Source organism: Homo sapiens, chromosome 14 (assembly GCF_000001405.40).
Source record: "Homo sapiens chromosome 14, GRCh38.p14 Primary Assembly".
Classification (NCBI taxonomy): domain Eukaryota; kingdom Metazoa; phylum Chordata; class Mammalia; order Primates; family Hominidae; genus Homo; species Homo sapiens.
This window is the reverse complement of record NC_000014.9, coordinates 68,101,885-68,120,440: the sequence shown is the minus strand read 5'-3', so window position 1 is coordinate 68,120,440 and position 18,556 is coordinate 68,101,885. Positions and strand designations below refer to the sequence as shown.

General features: G+C 35.9%; 1 protein-coding gene and 1 pseudogene across 12 annotated transcripts in view; both read right to left on the bottom strand.

Annotated features, from left to right (window-relative positions):
• RAD51B (RAD51 paralog B) overlaps positions 1 to 18,556 on the bottom strand; it is an 863,318-nt gene that overhangs the window by 562,656 nt on the left and 282,106 nt on the right. The gene's annotated exons all lie outside the window — the stretch shown is intronic.
• LOC100420174 (centrosomal protein 170kDa pseudogene) lies at positions 4,327 to 4,881 on the bottom strand (annotated as a pseudogene).

Below are 18,556 nucleotides of genomic sequence, written 5' to 3'. Positions count from 1 at the left end.
AAACCTGCCTAATGTGATTTAGGGCTAGAAACTTAAACCACTTATATGGCCTAAAAACCTGCAGCTTAGAAATTAACATCAAGGCAACAAAAGCCAAAATTGACAAATGGGATCTAATTAAACTAAAGAGCTTCTGCACAGCAAAAGAAACTACCATCAGAGTGAACAGGCAACCTACAAAATAGGAGAAAATTTTCACAACCTACTCATCTGACAAAGGGCTAATATCCAGAATCTACAATGAACTCAAACAAATTTACAAGAAAAAAACAAACAACCCCATCAAAAAGTGGGTGAAGGACATGAACAGACACTTCTCAAAAGAAGACATTTATGCAGCCAAAAAACACATGAAAAAACGCTCACCATCACTGGCCATCAGAGAAATGCAAATCAAAACCACAATGAGATACCAGCTCACACCAGTTAGAATGACAATCATTAAAAAGTCAGGAAACAACAGGTGCTGGAGAGGATGTGGAGAAATAGGAACACTTTTACACTGTTGGTGGGACTGTAAACTAGTTCAACCATTGTGGAAGTCAGTGTGGCGATTCCTCAGGGATCTAGAACTAGAAATACCATTTGACCCAGCCATCCCATTACTGGGTATATACCCAAAGGACTATAAATCATGCTGCTATAAAGACACATGCACACGTATGTTTATTGCGGCAATATTCACAATAGCAAAGACTTGGGACCAACCCAAATGTCCAACAATGATAGACTGGATTAAGAAAATGTGGCACATATACACCATGGAATACTATGCAGCCATAAAAAATGATGAGTTCGTGTCCTTTGTAGGGACATGGATGAAATTGGAAATCATCATTCTCAGTAAACAATCGCAAGAACAAAAAACCAAACACCGCATATTCTCACTCATAGGTGGGAATTGAACAATGAGACCACATGGACACATGAAGGGGAACGTCACACTCTGGGGACTGTTGTGGGGTGGGGGGAGGGGGGTGGGATAGCTTTAGGAGATATACCTAATGCTAAATGACGAGTTAATGGGTGCAGCACACCAGCATGGCACATGTATACATATGTAACTAACCTGCACATTGTGCACATGTACCCTAAAACTTAAAGTATAATAATAATAAAATAAAATAAAATAAAAAATAAATAAATGATAAAATAGTTGTAAAAAAAAAAAAAGAAATTAACATCAAGAACTGCAGCCTGGACAACATGGTGAGACCCTGTCTCTACAAAAAAATCGGAAAAATTAGTTGAGTACGGTGGCACGTGCCTATAGTCTCAGCTACATGGACAACATGGTGACACCCTGTCTCTACAAAAAAAAATTAGAAAAATTAGTGAGTGGCACGTGCCTGTACGTGGGGAGACTGAGGTGGGAGCATTACCTGAGGCCAGGGAGGTCGAGGCTGCAGTGAGCCATGATCGCACAACTGCACTCCAGCCTGGGTGACAGAGTGAGACTTTGTCTCAATAAAAAAAAAAAGAACTTGTTTGGCGGTTCCCCTGCATTTGAAGTGTTCACAAGCATCTGATGGGAGCAAATAGGAATCTTCCCTTGAAGAACATACTTTAAACACTGGCCTCAAAGAATTTTAACAGATAAAGTTCCTGAAATGAATGAACACACACACACACATGTGCACACACATACACATGCACACAACACACACACGAGCTATTATAAATGAGGATCAAATCAAATGAGAAATCATAATGAAGATTTTAAAATATTTTGAACCAAATGTGAAAGCATTATAAAAAAATCCGCAGAGCTCAAAATACACCTGCACAATGGCTATGGACAGATGTGTTGTCCTCACAACTCCTTTGTGCCCAAGCACATCTTACCCTTCTTCTTATTGCTGCAATCTGCATAAATTTGGTACACAGGTTACAAAAAATCCAATAAATAAAAGACATAGTTGACAAGACAGCTACAGAGACAAAGATATTTTTGGAATTACATTCAGAGTCTATGGCTCTTTCTTCCTTTTGGTGGGCGAGGGGCACACTTCCTTTAAATGTCCTCATTAGAACTGTCACAGGTTGGAACAGCATAAGGAGTCATGACAACTAAATGCAATGTGGGATGCTGGATTAGATCCTGAAGCAGAAAAAGGATATTAGTGGGGAAAATTGGAGAAATTTAAATGATGTCTACTGATTACCAAATAGTATTTTATTGGTGTTAATTTCCTGATTTTGGTAACTGTACTATACTTATATTAGATGTTAACATTAGAGGGAACTGGGTGAAGGATATATGGAAACTACTATTTTGTCTACTGTTTTCTGATATAGATTTTTTAATAACTCTTTTCAAAATAAAAAGGAAATAAATATCCTTGTTGATGGCAAATTGTTATTTTTTAAATTATAGAACTGATTTTGAAAAGAAAAAAATGCAGAACAAAGGTTAGTGAAAAGGTCAGTAATCTATTTGGGTAATAAATTTCTTTGCAGGGGAGGGGTTGATTTAAAAAATGTAGTGCGACTTTAAGTCAATGTGAGACTGTTTTCTTCTATAGTCCATAAATGGCTTCTAACGGCAATTCGAAAGGACAAGTTCTAAAAATATTTCTTGCAATGACAGCATCGTTGGATTAGTGTAAAGAGTGGCTACATTGAAGAATAGCACTCATTTAAACAGTGTACCTTATGGTATATTTATTTTTAAAAATCACTCCTCATTACCTTATGGTCACACCTCAGGGTGTTAAAGCAATTTCTGGGCACTCAGTAAGTAAAAGAAAAGTTAATTGAATGCAATAATTTGTCATGTCTCCCTCTGCTTTCTAATGCAAGAGTCTAGGTTATTTTTAATCTCTTTTACTATGGAAGATATTCTAATCGTACCTTTTTGATATTTTGAGCAAATTTATTACTTTTTAGCAGAAATTTGCTATTCTATGAGAGGGAAAGGAAAGTCCTCCCAAAAAACAGAGTGGCAGAGAACAAGCAGCCTGCAGGCAGTGTGTGGCCACCAAAGTGAGCTCTCCACGGTCATATCTTTTTTGGTCCCATAGTATATTCTATCTAGACCAATACTGAGCAGCCACCAGACATATTCACCAATCTGTTGATCATGATAACTGCAACATTTAATGGAGAATTTATAACCCAGGATCTTATCCTTCAGCTATTAAGTTGAGATATTTCATACATTGAAATTTGTGTTGGAAGGCCTTTGTGTCTCATAATCAAAAAATAAAAAATATATAAAACTATATGAATATATATAAACAATTACCCAAATAGGCACCATGATCAAGTCTATAACAAAAGAGAAGCATTTTATTTCTTTATTTCCCTAATGCAGGAGCACGCTCTATGATATAGGCGCAAGTCACAGAATAAATGTTTTAATGTCTCTTCCTTTCTGCCACTTAATTTGCCTAAATTTTACCTGTCTTGCTTAATAAAACACATGTAATAACATTGTTACCTTCCAAGGGACTTATGTAAATTAATGAATATGGCTGTAAAACATTTTGTAAACATGAAGTGTTACATAAATACTTACAAATTCCTCAAATGTGCTCATTATATTGCCCATTTTGAACCTTAATATTTACTTAAAACTCTACATTTGAGATTTCCCCAAGGAAGAAATTCCAACTTTTCTTGCCTGTAGCTTTATAGACTTTTCTTTAAATAAGCAAAGTCCAATTCAATAGGACATAGAACTAGGAATAAACACAACTAACCAAAAACCAGGAAGTATTCACAGATGCTCTAAGCCTGCAAATATAGCTAATCACATTCATTCAGCATTTACACTGCGAAATTACTATAGAAATGTAGTAATTTACAGAAAATAAAGCAGTAAAACTTAAAGGTTCACAATATAATGTCATGACTGTCAAATTCTCTGCTTCAACAGAAGACCGTATTTTCTCACTAATCGAAGGGCAGATTCCTATGAAAGCTGAAAAAAAATTTTATATCTGAGCAAGATTTGAGTAATTTAGCTTCTATTACTCTGATTTTATACATTTTTTGAATGAATCACTTCAAATCATGCTACTTATGCTTTACATAGACAGTCTGAAACCATTACCAACTTGAAAACCTAGTTTCTTTTTTTTTTTTTTTTTAACCTTTTAAATGTACAGAGCTTTATGTATGAAACTCAGGTAAATTCAGAATATCAGCAAATAAAATCACAAAGCATGTTGGTCTTACTGTTAGTCTTGCAGTTCCCTAATAAAACCCTAAAATTCACATACCACTGACTGCATGACAACATCTCATGCTGACTCTCCAATAATTTCCACCAGTCAAATACACCACACAACAACTAAGATCACACTCAAATTTCAATTATTTACCTTGTGAATCATTTTTCTTGCTTCCACTTCCTCACTGTTGGGATTCTCTAACTCAATGGTATAAGTACCCTTGTCACTTTGGTCATCATCATTATCCTTTTCAGAAGTAGCAGAAGTTGCTTGATTTTTTAACATTTTATCCATCTCCTGGCTTGGTCTGTGCCCAAGACTCCCTGAACCTCTTAATAATGCAGTTTGTAGGAAGGGTATTGACACCGATGGCTCCTCTGATTTCTGTTTTAACAGTTTCCCATGTGGAACACCATGCCCCACTCTGTGATGCACAGAGCTAGTCTGTAAAGACAAAGAAACCACTTTGGCATCTGCTGTTGAAGACTTTGCTTTCTCAAGTTTTGTATGTGGTGTTGAATATGTAGTTCCCTGACACAAGATTCCCGCACTTTGAGTTAAAGAATATGACCTTCTTTTTCTGGGATTGTCTTCATCAAAGAATGCAATCATAAAAGCAGTTTGACTTACAACAGCTTGGTCTTGATGCTTTTCAGTAGCCTGGACCTTCTGTAGCTTTTTGTGTTCTGAATGGTGGTGTCTTTTTTTTTTTTTTTTTTTATACTTTAAGTTTTAGGGTACATGTGCACATTGTGCAGGTTAGTTACATATGTATACATGTGCCATGCTGGTGCGCTGCACCCACTAACTCGTCATCTAGCATTAGGTATATCTCCCAATGCTATCCCTCCCCCCTCCCCCCACCCCACAACAGTCCCCAGAGTGTGATGTTCCCCTTCCTGTGTCCATGTGATCTCATTGTTCAATTCCCACCTATGAGTGAGAATATGCCGTGTTTGGTTTTTTGTTCTTGTGATAGTTTACTGAGAATGATGATTTCCAATTTCATCCATGTCCCTACAAAGGACACGAACTCATCATTTTTTATGGCTGCATAGTATTCCATGGTGTATATGTGCCACATTTTCTTAATCCAGTCTATCATTGTTGGACATTTGGGTTGGTTCCAAGTCTTTGCTATTGTGAATAATGCCACAATAAACATACGTGTGCATGTGTCTTTATAGCAGCATGAGTTATAGTCATTTGGGTATATACCCAGTAATGGGATGGCTGGGTCAAATGGTATTTCTAGTTCTAGATCCCTGAGGAATCGCCACACTGACTTCCACAATGGTTGAACTAGTTTACAGTCCCACCAACAGTGTAAAAGTGTTCCTATTTCTCCACATCCTCTCCAGCACCTGTTGTTTCCTGACTTTTTAAGAAAACCTAGTTTCATACTAAAAATTACTAAGATGATTAAATGAGATGGTACATAAAATATTCTTCACAGTATCTGCTATGTATTAACACTCAATAAATAATACTTACACAAATAATATGAAATTAATTATCTCTGGCAGATGATCTCACATCCAATAAAAATGAAATATTAAAGACTTGGGAAATACTATTAATAATATCTCTATTTGTACATTAAACCCATGACAATGAAACATAAGTTGATAACTATTTAGGCCACTTTTGATAATAAGAAACTTATCACAATGAGAGTAACAAGATTAAGAAAACAAATATTCTTGCTGTAACAATTTTAGCACGTTTTATATATTATAAAATATAACAGAGAAACCATCATATGTATCTGCACAAATTTAATGACAAAATGCTGCATATATCCCTCAAAAACTTCAATTGAAAGACAATCACACAAAGATACTAAAAATGCCATTCAATGGTAAAATATCAGGTAATGGGTCAGTATAAAACAAATGATTTTCCAATAATGTAATGTGGAACCATTTCAATTATGTGACAGAAAATAATCCAACTTCACCTTAATATATTCAAATATAAAACAAAAATATATATAATCTAGTACCAATCACATTGTTCAGTGAGGCTGAAGGGTTGGCTGTGGCTCAGGACTAGAAGGCTGTCACTAGCAATGATCACAAGCATTTAGAATAAAATAAGAAAACAAGCCTGATACCACAACTCCTAGGGCACAGTTGAGTTCACACAGGAGAAAAACCATATATATGTATTCAGTGTGGAAAACTCTCACCAAAAGATTAAGTCTTCTTTCATCCCAGAAAATATTCATACTAGAGAGAAACTCTTTGTTTGTACTGAATGTTGGTGGGCCTTCAGACAGAAATCAGAGTTGCCTACTCATCAGAAGATTCATACTTCAGAGAAACCTCATGAATGCGGCATCTGTGAGAAGTCTTTTGCTAAGAAATCACATCTTCAACTACGTTACTAAATTCATACAGGAGAGAAACCTATATGTGAACTAACTGTGAGGAAGCCTTCAAATGTCAAATATGAAGAAACCCAGCATGCTCATACTTAAGATAAAGCCTATCAATGCAGTGACTGTGATAAGGGCTCCATTCAGTCACCCTGGTATCCAGATAATCAGTTCTCAGTATGCATCAGAGCATTCATATATGGAAAAAAAAACTTATTTGTTTCCTGAAAGTCATAAAGCCTTCTCACAGTAATCAGCTCTAATCATAAAGCAGAGAATTCATGTTGCACAGATCATATGAATATGTTGTATATGGGAAAGCCTTCAACCAGAAGTCGTACTGTGAGAACTCATTCCCAAGAGAATTTGTAGGAATGCCTGGTATGAGGGAACCTTTCCTTATTTGCACCAGCCTCATTAAGTATCACATTTACATTGAGAGTTTAATGCATGAGGAAGAGCCTTCTTGTAGAACATACTAAAATGTGCATTTCTTTAAATATTAGTGACTTTATGATTTGCAAATTATAATTCTTCATCTATGAACTACTTGTTCAAAACTCTTAGCTATTTTTCTTATGAGTTGTTTTCTTCGATGGGTAAAATTCTTAATAATTATGGATATTAGACACTCTTTGTTATTATGCATGGTGAAAATTATATTACAGCTTTCAATATAGTGTCTTTTACAATAGGGACAATATTGATTAATCTAAGCTGCAAGAATTCTTTTCCTGCAGGAAAGCCAGAAGTAGCTGATGTAAATTCTAGTAAGAATTAATTTAAAAAATCAATAAACCAATTTCGTATTTTTAAACATAAATATGCTATTGTACTCAGCATCTATAAAATATTTTCAGGCAAAAATTAGATATGGTAGGTCAAAATCTTACAAGTTCAGAGAACTTTAAGACAGCCAAATTTAAGAGCATGTTTTTGTAATTTAGGGAAAACACTGTCTAATTATATAAAGTAAATTTTCTACGTAGCAAGTTTATTTAATTTGTAAAGAAACAATGATGACATGTCCACTACACATGGACTATGTTCTTAATACCTTTATAGTGAAGTCTCACTAATTGGGTGTTAATTGCACTAGCTCAAAAAGCATCTAGCAGGTATTGCTTTGTATGACCAAAGAAGACTATCTTCTGGAGCTGGTGAGCATGCTGCCACTTCTCCCTCTGAATTCAACTCAGATAAAACCAGCTGGGGCACAGCTGCAGCCCAGCTGCCAACTTTGATTTCCTATGTCTGCACTAAAAACAATCACCCCAGCATGATCACATGATAATTAAATCTGAATTACTACAGCTGAGGCTCACAATATTAAAAATTAAAATTTGCTAAGAATTTTGAAAGACTATCTGCATGAAGAATTAGATTTGTGACTGTGTCATCATGTATCTCTACGCACATTCTGCCATCTATCTTAGTCCAGGGAGCTAGGCACCCTATGAATCAAGTGACTCCTAACTTCAGCTATAGGAGAGACTATAAATTTGTATTCTAAATCTTCAGAAAATAAAGAAGGTGTGGAGGGGATGGCAAGCGAGATCTCAAAGGAGGACAGTTGAGATTGAGCCTCAATGCATTATGGAAGACCATTGTTAAATAGGGCTGAAAACATAAAAATTCAATGGAAGAAGAGACTCCAGAGACTAAATCTCAATGAGTGCAATGTTATACTAGGACTCCTAACTCTGAACACTAACTGAATTTCCTATATGAGGTTATACTGTGACTAAGTTATGCTTCCACAGTAAAGCCCCAAAGGCTTTTAAAAATTCCTTTAAAGGTAACTCCATGTAATAACACCATACCTACTGCTGGAGGGCCTGGCAGAGATCCTATTATGAGCTAGCCTCTTGCAGGAGAGTTAGAAGATTGCAGAATAAAGCTTTTTGGAGGATAAGCCATGGGAACACATGGCCAAACAACGAGCAATGAGGTCTAGGGGAACAGAGAGGAACATCGCACAAGTAACATAACTTCAGTGCCTGGAAAGCACAAAGTACAATCACAAATCAAAGGCTTAATAATGTAATACTTATCACCGCAGGTGACCATCTGCTTTGAGTCTGTTATGGGATGTAATTGCTCCCTTCTTGCTGACAGCCATTTCAGGAGACCCAGGTGGCACTTCTGGCAACCTGCCCAAGATGGTCCTTTCCCTTTGTATTTTGGCAGGAACAGAGAGGTACTGGACAAAGGAAGTAGTTTGGTGAACATTACTGGATTTTCAGTTTACCCAAAACCAAAGTACGTAGGATGGTATTGTAGTGGGGTTGTGTTGTATTTACTTCTCAGAAAAGAGAGAACTGTCACACATTCAATATGTGAAAGAAAGCCTTGAAAGCAGACACCTACTCACCAAAAGCAAATAATTTAAGATGGATGAACTGAAAAGACATGTAACAGCACAACCACATGAGAGCTTTTGTGTGTATAAATTTGCTTGCTTTTAAAACCACTGATATCCTGTTTCTGAAAACTTATTCCTGGCCTCTATTCTTCTCTAATAGAACCCAATCAGTTTCTGACAGCTCTTTCTCAAACAGCTGTCTTTCATTTAATTTCATTTAGTGTGCAAACCGTTTCAAGTTGCATGCACAAGCATACTGTGAAGAATTCATTTTCTCTAGTTTCCTGGCGACAATAAAAGAATTTAATAATAAAAAAAAGTTGAACTTTGGCCTGAAATGTTACTGTCCTGCCGAAATGGTGAATTATACAAGTGGAAGTGATCCAAAGGTTACTTGGTCCACCCCCTACAATGCAAAAAGAGCCTAGACAGATCCTTTCATGTAATTATCTTACTTGTCATTTTAAAATCTTGTAAGAAAAATTCCACATTCTCACTAAATAAATTTGGTCCAGACCTTGATAATCTGAAGAATGAACTTCCTCAGGGATAAGTGCAGGGAGAGTAAGAGGATTTAGGACTGACAACCTGGAATTAGTCAAAATATAGAATTGAAAAACAGGTATGATTCTAAATGCATATAGAGGAGAATATCAGGGAAGATTTTTGTAAAGGAAGCTGAGTTCTTAAGGAAGAGAGCCACAGTATCGCATAATAGATCATGGGCTTTTGAGTTTAACAATCATGTATTAAAATTCTACCAATGCTAAGGTATAGTTCTCTTATCTCCAAAATGGGTATTAACATTTAATGGGCTCTCATTCTAAGTTCTAAGTGCTTCACATGTATTAACTTATAGATAAATGCTTATACAAAAAAGTTGTACGGATTAAATAATGTTATTAGGGTGTTTAGCACAGTTCTTATGTTCAATAAGTAGTAATAATTATTTTTCCCACTTCTGCTTATGAAACCAGATATTCTCACCAATAAGACTTTTGGGACCCAAAGATCTAAAAAGAGAGACCAAAGTAAGTAATGCCACTTTGCTCCCTCCCTCTTTTCCTTTCAACCAAGGCAGGAAACAATCTTGAGACAGATGGAGAAAGGGAAGCCATTCAGTTTTGTCTCTTTACCTAACTAATAATGGTAAGAAGAGGGGATTGTGGAACAGTATGAACACCTTTCAGTTCCTTTTGACACAGATAACCACTTCATCCTCCACTTTTTTCCACCCCTCTTATGTTCACTGTACCATTCTCTGAGTTTCAAATCCCCTAGGATCTTGAATGCCACAGAGTGCCTCAAAAAACAAGCCTACTGTCCCTTGCAGACAGCTGTGTCCCTATCTTAAATTTCCACCTTTCACAAAAGACATGTTAAACTTACTTTCCAATTTCTTAGTATACTAGCTCCTAAGTATGATGGTCCCTGAAATTAGCAGACATTTATGAACTTCAGTGAAATTTGGGCCTAGAGTCTCCAATCTATTGACAGTACTTACATCTCATCATGTTTCCAAGCAATAAAACCAGGGCTCTCTGTGTGATCTTTCTATGTTCAGTTAAACCAAAGTTTACACTATATTCCTCTTTGAGTTTAAGTTTTGGTTGAAGTAAGTACGCCAAAGATTTTGCAGGCATTGACTGTAGGGATACTTAGCATTCAATCTGACGAGAGGCTAAAATATAATCCATTTTAAATGGGAAGACCAGACATGAAGTTGGTATTACCAGTGCCTCATGTTATCAAGTACTGCTGCCCACTCTTTCCTGTTCAGCCCTCTATTTCCATCACTAGCAAGAATGCCTGGGCCAATCACCACATTCAGAACCATGGCTCCTTGCTATCTATATACTCCAGGCCCCAAATAACTGCTTTCTTTCTCCAATCACCCTGAAAAAGAGGGAATATTATCTAGCAACTACAGCAGAGGATTCCTAGGCACACTTCTGGAGAAATGCACTGGGAATGCTAATGGAAAAGAACCATTCCCCAGCAAAGATTTTATCTTCTCTTTCTAGTAAGCTTCTTATTTCCCTCAGAAAACTTTGCTTCCTGTTACATAATGCTTTGGGTAGGACACTCACACATCTCATTAGCACCAGGCCAGAGCATTCAAGAAATAAAACCTACTTCGATAACATGTTTACAAAAGAGAGAGACATGTATGAATTCATACCATAAGCTGGTCTCACAGCCACATTATAAAAGTCATATTCAACTTGCCTGCATTTTAACAAACCATTAATCATTTCTATACTGACCCCACCCCCAAGACTCTTACGCTCTGGCCAGGGAGCACTTCAAGTGTGTGGTCATCAAATGCCATGAATAATAGAGAATGCAGGAAAAGCAGTTTCTAAATCAAATCCATACTCTTGAAAATAAACACATTTTTTAATGATATAATTACAACAATATGCCACTCTTGGTTTGAAAAGTAATATAACATTAAGTTTTTAAAAAAGGAATCAAGAAGAAAATATATCATATTGCTCTGTATCAGTTTTTGCCTGTATATAATAAGTCTAGCTGGTATAAAGTAAGGCAATAGACAAGCAGATTGATAAAATAATGAAAATTGAAGATCCTCATAGACAATAAAGGTTGAGACTATATTGTACTTGAATTGCAATAACCCAGACACAAACAGATAATTGAAGTGGTGGACTAAATCCAAACCACCGAAGCCAAATTAATAGGTTTAAAAAATATATACGTAACAATTTTATTGAGATATTACTCACATATCATAAAATTCGCCCTTTTAAAGTATATAATTCAGTGTTTTTAGAGTGCTCACAGAGTTTTATAACCATCACCAATATCTAATTCCAGAACATTTTCATTACTCTGAAAAGAAACCCGATACTCATTAGTAGTCACTGTCCCTTCCCATTCCTGCCTCTCTCTAGATCCTGGCAATCTCTTATCTCTCTTCTGTCTCTATGAATTTGCCTATTCTGAACATTTTGTATAAAAGGAATTATACAACATCTAGCTATTTGTGATTAGCCTCTGTCACTTAACAGAACGTTCATCCATGTTGACGCATGTATCACTACTTTATTCCTTTCATTACTAAATAATATTTCACTGTACAAATATACCACATTTTGTTTATCCATTCATCAGTTGAGAGACATTTAGGTGTTTCCACTTTCTGACTATTATGAATAATGCTGCTATGGATATTTATGTACAAAGTTTTGTGTAAACATATTTTCAGTTCTCTTGGGTATATACCTAGGTGTGGAATTGCCAGGTCCTATGGTAACTCTATGTTTAACTTTTTGAGGAATGTGAGTTCCCATTTTTTTTATATTCTTACCAACACTTGTTATTGTCTATCTTTTTTATCATAGCCATCCTAGTGGTAAAAAGTGGTATCTTATTATGGTTTTGACTTGTATTCCATCAATGACTGATGCTGTTGAGCATATTTTCATGTGCTTATTGGCCATTTGCACATCATCTTTGGAAAAAATCTATTAAAATTATTAATCTACTTTTAATTATTTGTCTTTCTATTGGTATATTATAAGGGTTCTCCATATTTTCTGGATACTAGACCCTTATCATATGTAAGATTTGCAATTACTTTCTTCTTTTCTGTGGACTGTCTTTCAAGGTCACAAAGATTGTGCTCTATGGCCTCTTTCTAAGAGTTTTATAGTTTTAGATCATACATTTAGGTGTCTGATCCATTTGATGTGTTCTGTAAAGTACCAATTCAACTTCGTTCTTTTGTATGTGGCTGTAAATTGTCCCAGTATTATGTGTTGAAGAGACTACTCTCCAGTGAATTGTCTTGGCACCCTTGTAAAAATTCAATTAATCAAAAATGAAAAAGTTTACTTCCCAACTCTCATTTATAATTCATGGATCTGTATTTTTATCCTATGCTAGGACCACACTGTTTGGATTACTATAGTTTTATACTGAGTATTAAAACTGGAAAATATGAGTCTTCCAACTTTCTTCTTCTTTAAAAGATTGTTTGAAGATTGTTATGGCTATTCTGGATCCCAGTGAATTTTAGTATTGGTTAAGGTTTTGATAGGAATTTTGTTGACTATGTAGATCCACGTAGATAGTATTTCCATCTTAACAATATTAAGTCTCCTGATTCATGAATATATGACATCTTTCCATTTATTTAGGCTTCTTTAATTTCTTTCAACAATGTTTTATAATTTTCAGTGTGCAAATCTTATACTTTTGGGGGTTCAATTTATTCCTTAGTATTTTACGTTTTTTGATGTGAAAAGTACTAGGTTTTAGCGTCTCTTCTAGCTCTCATGGAGCACTAAGGTAAAAAAGGAATAATTGTTTATAGACTTCACATCCTATATCCCTGTCAGCTTAACTGTGTCATAGCCAAGCATGTTTATACCAGTCCTGAATGTTTATAAACATCTTAATGAAGAGGGAAATAATACTGATCTATCTTGAGGCAGGAGAACAGAGCAAAGTACAGACTGGAATTAAATAGACTGGTCACTCACAGGCTATAAAATGCTGAAAACTTTGTTCTCCTTCTGTAGCCTCAGTTTTCTCATCTATAAAATTAAGACAATACCTGCCTTGCAAGGTTTTATGTGGATTAGAAACAATATATTTATGGGCCAGGACTTTGTCTTGTTAACTATTATGTATTTGGCTCCTAAATCAATGCCTGGGGCATAAAAGGTGTTCAATGAATACCCATTAAATGAGTTTTTTAAAAGTCTAATGTAGTATCTACCAAAAGTAAGGACTCAATAAGTGACAGCAATGGTTATCATCATCATCATCACTATGAGATTATTGACTTTAGCATAAATAACCCAACGTTCCAATGAAGTACTAAGTAAGCTGAATCACAGTGCTACCATACCCTGCATGGAATGGAAATACAAATAAATTTAGCCAGAGGCAATGCAAACCTGGAAAGAACAAAGGAGAACTTTAACAACTCCAATGTGACACAAACACTGAAGTTCATTTTAAATTAACTTTTACTTACTTGACATTGTTGAATATGGAAAAGGCTAGAAAACATTGTGCCAGATAGGGCAAAATGTTCAAGGTTTGACAGAACAACTGGAAATAAAAAAACCTACCACATCTACTTCATATTGATTATAATGATATATTAACCATGCTAGAAAGTACTCTAATTTTTTTTAAATGAAAATGATTGTTGAGTTATTTTTTCTGTATATTTCCTTAAGTTCATTTTTTTAAGTAAGAAACAAAAGTAGAAATGATAAAAATAAAAAGAACCCCACAAATATGTCAAGCTAGAAACATCTAGTTTCTGGGTTCTTATAGTTTCTCAAAACCTAATACAAATATTTGTAAAAATAGGAAAATAGAACAAAACGAATGCTCAAACCAAAATCCAAGTCCAGTTACTATATGCAGCCTCTAAAATGCCTTCTGCTGTTTCAACTGACCACTTTTTCATTTCCTGCAGTTTTATCTTCTAAAAAGATTAAGAGGGAGCTAGTGTTTTACATTTAAAACACCGCAATAACACTCTGAAACACTTTAAACTTGGCACTAGTCATTACTAACTAATTGGTTTAAAAGCTAATTTTTCCCACTTCTATTTCATTCCCATAGTTGCAAATCAAAGGAAGATGATCTTTTAGAGGACCCAATAAATAGAAGGTATATAATCCTGTCACTAATATTGCTAAACCTTGTTTCTGTGCTTGTAAATGCTGCTTGTTTCACCAAACAAAAGTGGTTGCTTTCATTGAAGAAGAGAATTTAAAAGACTTTTCTTACTATAATAAAAGCAAAAGTCTACTTATAATTACAAATACTTTAAACTTGGAGTCTGAAATGAAATTCCAATTATTATTATCCTGGGTATAGATTTTACAATAATTTGAAAGTCTTCCTTTCATCCTTTTAAAATAATAACAAAACCAATCTATTTTTAAAATCTTTAAACAATGCATACTTAGTAAAAAACAAGCAAACAGAAAGTATAAAATAATGCAAAATTCTCCCATCCTGACCCCCAGGCCCATAGTCCTCCTCTCCAAAAGAAACGAGTTTCTTATTAACAACCTGAAATTTTCCATACATAGGCAAGTATAATCAATCATACATATATAACATACATACATAAAATCATGCATATACATCAATTTTTAAATTATCATTTTATGACGATAACAAAGTAACCAGAGAACCTAGGAGCTTCAAGCAATGTTGGAGAGCATTTACCAATCCTCTTGTTTTATACAGGTCAGGAAACTGAAGCCCAATTAGGTAAATTGTCCGAAGCTATTCCTAACCACTGAGAAGCTCCGAAATTTTGTTTCTTGCATGATTTTAAAGATATTGCTATCTCCGAATAGACCTGAGAATATCTTTCTCACCAAGGGGAAAAAAAAAAAAAAGATTCCTGGAGTTTAGTTTAAAGTAAATATTTTTCAAACTAAAGTTTCTCCAACTGTTTCAATCTCCATTGGGGTGGGAGGGTGTGGTCATTAAGTTTCATCTGAAACAACAGTTCTGCCTGGGCAGACTTAACAGCCTATTTACATCTGTATTCTTAAGAAAACTAGTAAAGTATAAACTTTATGAATTTCTCCAACTCCTGTGCAGGCATAGTAAAATCATGCATTTGATTTCCTCAGTTGAGTGCTTAAGAATTCAGAGAGCTAACAAGCCCCAACCTGTACCCTGCATAATAAACAAATAACAGTATCTCATTAGGTAGCTCAAGAGGGAAAGTTCTTGGTTTCATCAAAAGTGAATGAAGTCTATCGTGGATTTCTTGTAATCCACTTACAAGAATCATGTGGGCCAATATTCACTCAATTGGTATGTGAGCAGAGACATGATGTCAACAATGTCTGGAGATAACCCTATTCCAAAGCCACTGTGTTCAGAGAGACTCCTGCAGTGATGAAAGGTACTTTACTGAATGACTGCTAGTAGAATATGCAATGAAGTGGGGAGATTAGATAACTGAATTTTAAGACACAGAATTCAGTTTTGGTCTCACCATGTCACCCTAGGTCTAAGTGCTTTGTTTCTCAGTTTATCTGCTCTTTTAATTAGTAATAATACTATTTATTGGTTTGAGGGCTTCAGAAACTTTTGACAACTAAGGCCTTGCTCAAAGAACCTACCATGCTTTTTTGAGTTCTTAAAACAAAACAAAACACGTAGAAGCAGTTGTTTGCCCTCCCTCATATCTTTGCAAGCTTCCATAGAAGCCAGAATCTTTATTCTTTATTATCTATTATATAATAATTTGCTGATTCTTTAAACCTTTCAAAATCACACAGAAATAGAAACTACCCCTTAAGCCTGAACTGGCACTAAATACTAAAACTTCTGTAGACTGTTAGCAGTAAAAATGCCAAATAAAAATCTCTTGCATATACTCTCTCACTCTGTGTACGTTGTTACCTTGAGTTTCTGGGATTTGTCTCCAACATAAACAGTACTTGTGTCACATTGAAGGAGGTTACCTCAGCTCTTCTGAAACCTGCGACTGGGTAAGTTCTATTCCCTGAAACAAACACAGCAGGAGGGTGGGCCTGGCAAGCCACAACCCTAATACTGAAAAATGCCAACTAGTGCTTCTAATAGGAGACAAACTATATTAAACGTGCAAAATTCCCTACATTTTTACAGCAGTAATTACATTTCTCATCCATAGAACACCTTTCTTTGGAGGGGTTATTTGATCCTAATGTGTTTTTTTAAATTAATTTTTTAAATTGTCTCCTCCTTATCTGAAGTGGTCTGAAACAGTCAAGAATATATTTTCTTCTCCTTTGTCCTTGCGGGTAGGACATGTTCTTATTCAGTCTATCCTCTAATGAAATCTGGAGAGACTTCCCTTCCTCAATTTGTACTAACACTTTAAATTAACTTTGCACACTAGGAAAAAGAAATGAGAAATGGGTGCAGACATAAACATTATAACGAAATAGTTAAAGCAACCCACACTATATTCGTAAGAGTAATAATTTAGAATCTTAGTTACTGGCATCTAATAATCTATTACTTTTGGTTTTGTTCCTCACCTTCTGGTTGCCTGCCTCTGGGCCACTTCATTTTATGTTTTTTTATCATCATACTCTTCATGGCAAGAAAATAAACACAAACTGAAACTCAAAGTGGTAATTTATTTTCTAGTTTCTCATAAGAGGTATGATAGAAAAAGAGATTGAAACTATTATGATAACTCCTGAGGTTTTGAATTATACAGGGAATACATTTAATTATTTTATTAATTATGTTTTATAAGTCAATAAAGTAAACTGCTATAGTCCACTTATGCAATATTGAGCTCTAAGCAACTCAAAAGACATGCATTGGTGTGGGGGTTGACTGGTTTGGCTGTGTGCCCACCCAAATCTTTTCTTGTAGTTCACATAATCCCCATGTGTCATGGGAGGGACCCAGTGGGAGGTAACTGCATCATGGGGGTGGTTACCCCCATGCTGTTCTTCTGATAGTGAGTTCTCACATGATCTGATGGTTTTATAAGGGGCTTTTTCCTCATTTTGTTCATTCTTGTCTCTTCTGCTGCCATGTGAAGAAGGACATGTTTGCTTCCCCTTCTGTCATGATTTCCTGAGGCCTCCACAGCCCTGTGGAACTGTGAGTCAACTAAACCTCTTTCCTTCATAAATTACCCACTCTTGGGTGTGTCTTTATTAGCAGCATAAGAACAGACTAATATAGTAAACTGGTACCAGTAGAGTGGGGTGCTGCTATAAGGATACCCAAGAATGTGGAAGCAACTTTGGAAGTGGTAACAAGCAGGGTTTGGAACAGTTTGGAGGGCTCAGAAGAAGAAAGAAAAACGTAGGATATTTTGGAACTTCCTAGAGACTTAGAGGGCTCAGAAGACAGGAAGATGTGGGAAAGTTTGAAACTTCCTAGAGACTTGTTGAATGGCTTTGACCAAAATGCTGATAGTGATATGGACAATGAAGTCCAGGTAGAGGTGGTCTCAGACAAAGATGAGGAACTTTTGGGAAATGGAGCAAAGTTGACTCTTGTTATGCTTTAGAAAACAGACTGGTGGAATTTTGCCCCTGCCCTAGAGATCTGGGGAACCCTGAACTTGAGAGAGATGGTTTGGCATTGGAATCTATGTTTAAAAAGGATGCAAAGCATAAAGTTTTAAAAAATTGCAATAGAAAAGAAAAACCCATTTTCTGAGGAGAAATTCAAGCAGACTACAGAAATTTGCTTAAGTAGCAAGGAGTCAAATGTTACTTGCCAAGACAATGGAGAAAATGTCTCCAGGGCATGTCAGAGGTCTTCATGGCAGCCCCACCCATCACAGGCCCAGAGGCCTAGGAGGGAAAAATGGTTTTGTGGACCAAGCCCAGGGCCTCCTTGCTCTATGCAGCCTTGGGACATGGTGCCCTGTGTCCCAGCTGCTTCGTTCCAGCCATGGTTAAAAGGGGCCAAGGTACATTTCAGGCCATTGCTTCAGAGAGTGCAAGTCCCAAGCCTTGGCAGCTTCCATGTGGTGTTGGACCTATGGATGCACAGAAGACAAGAATTGGGGTTTGGGAACCTCCACTTAGATTTCAGAGGATGTATGGAAACACTTGGATGTCCAGGCAGAAGTCTAATGTAGAGGTGGAGCCC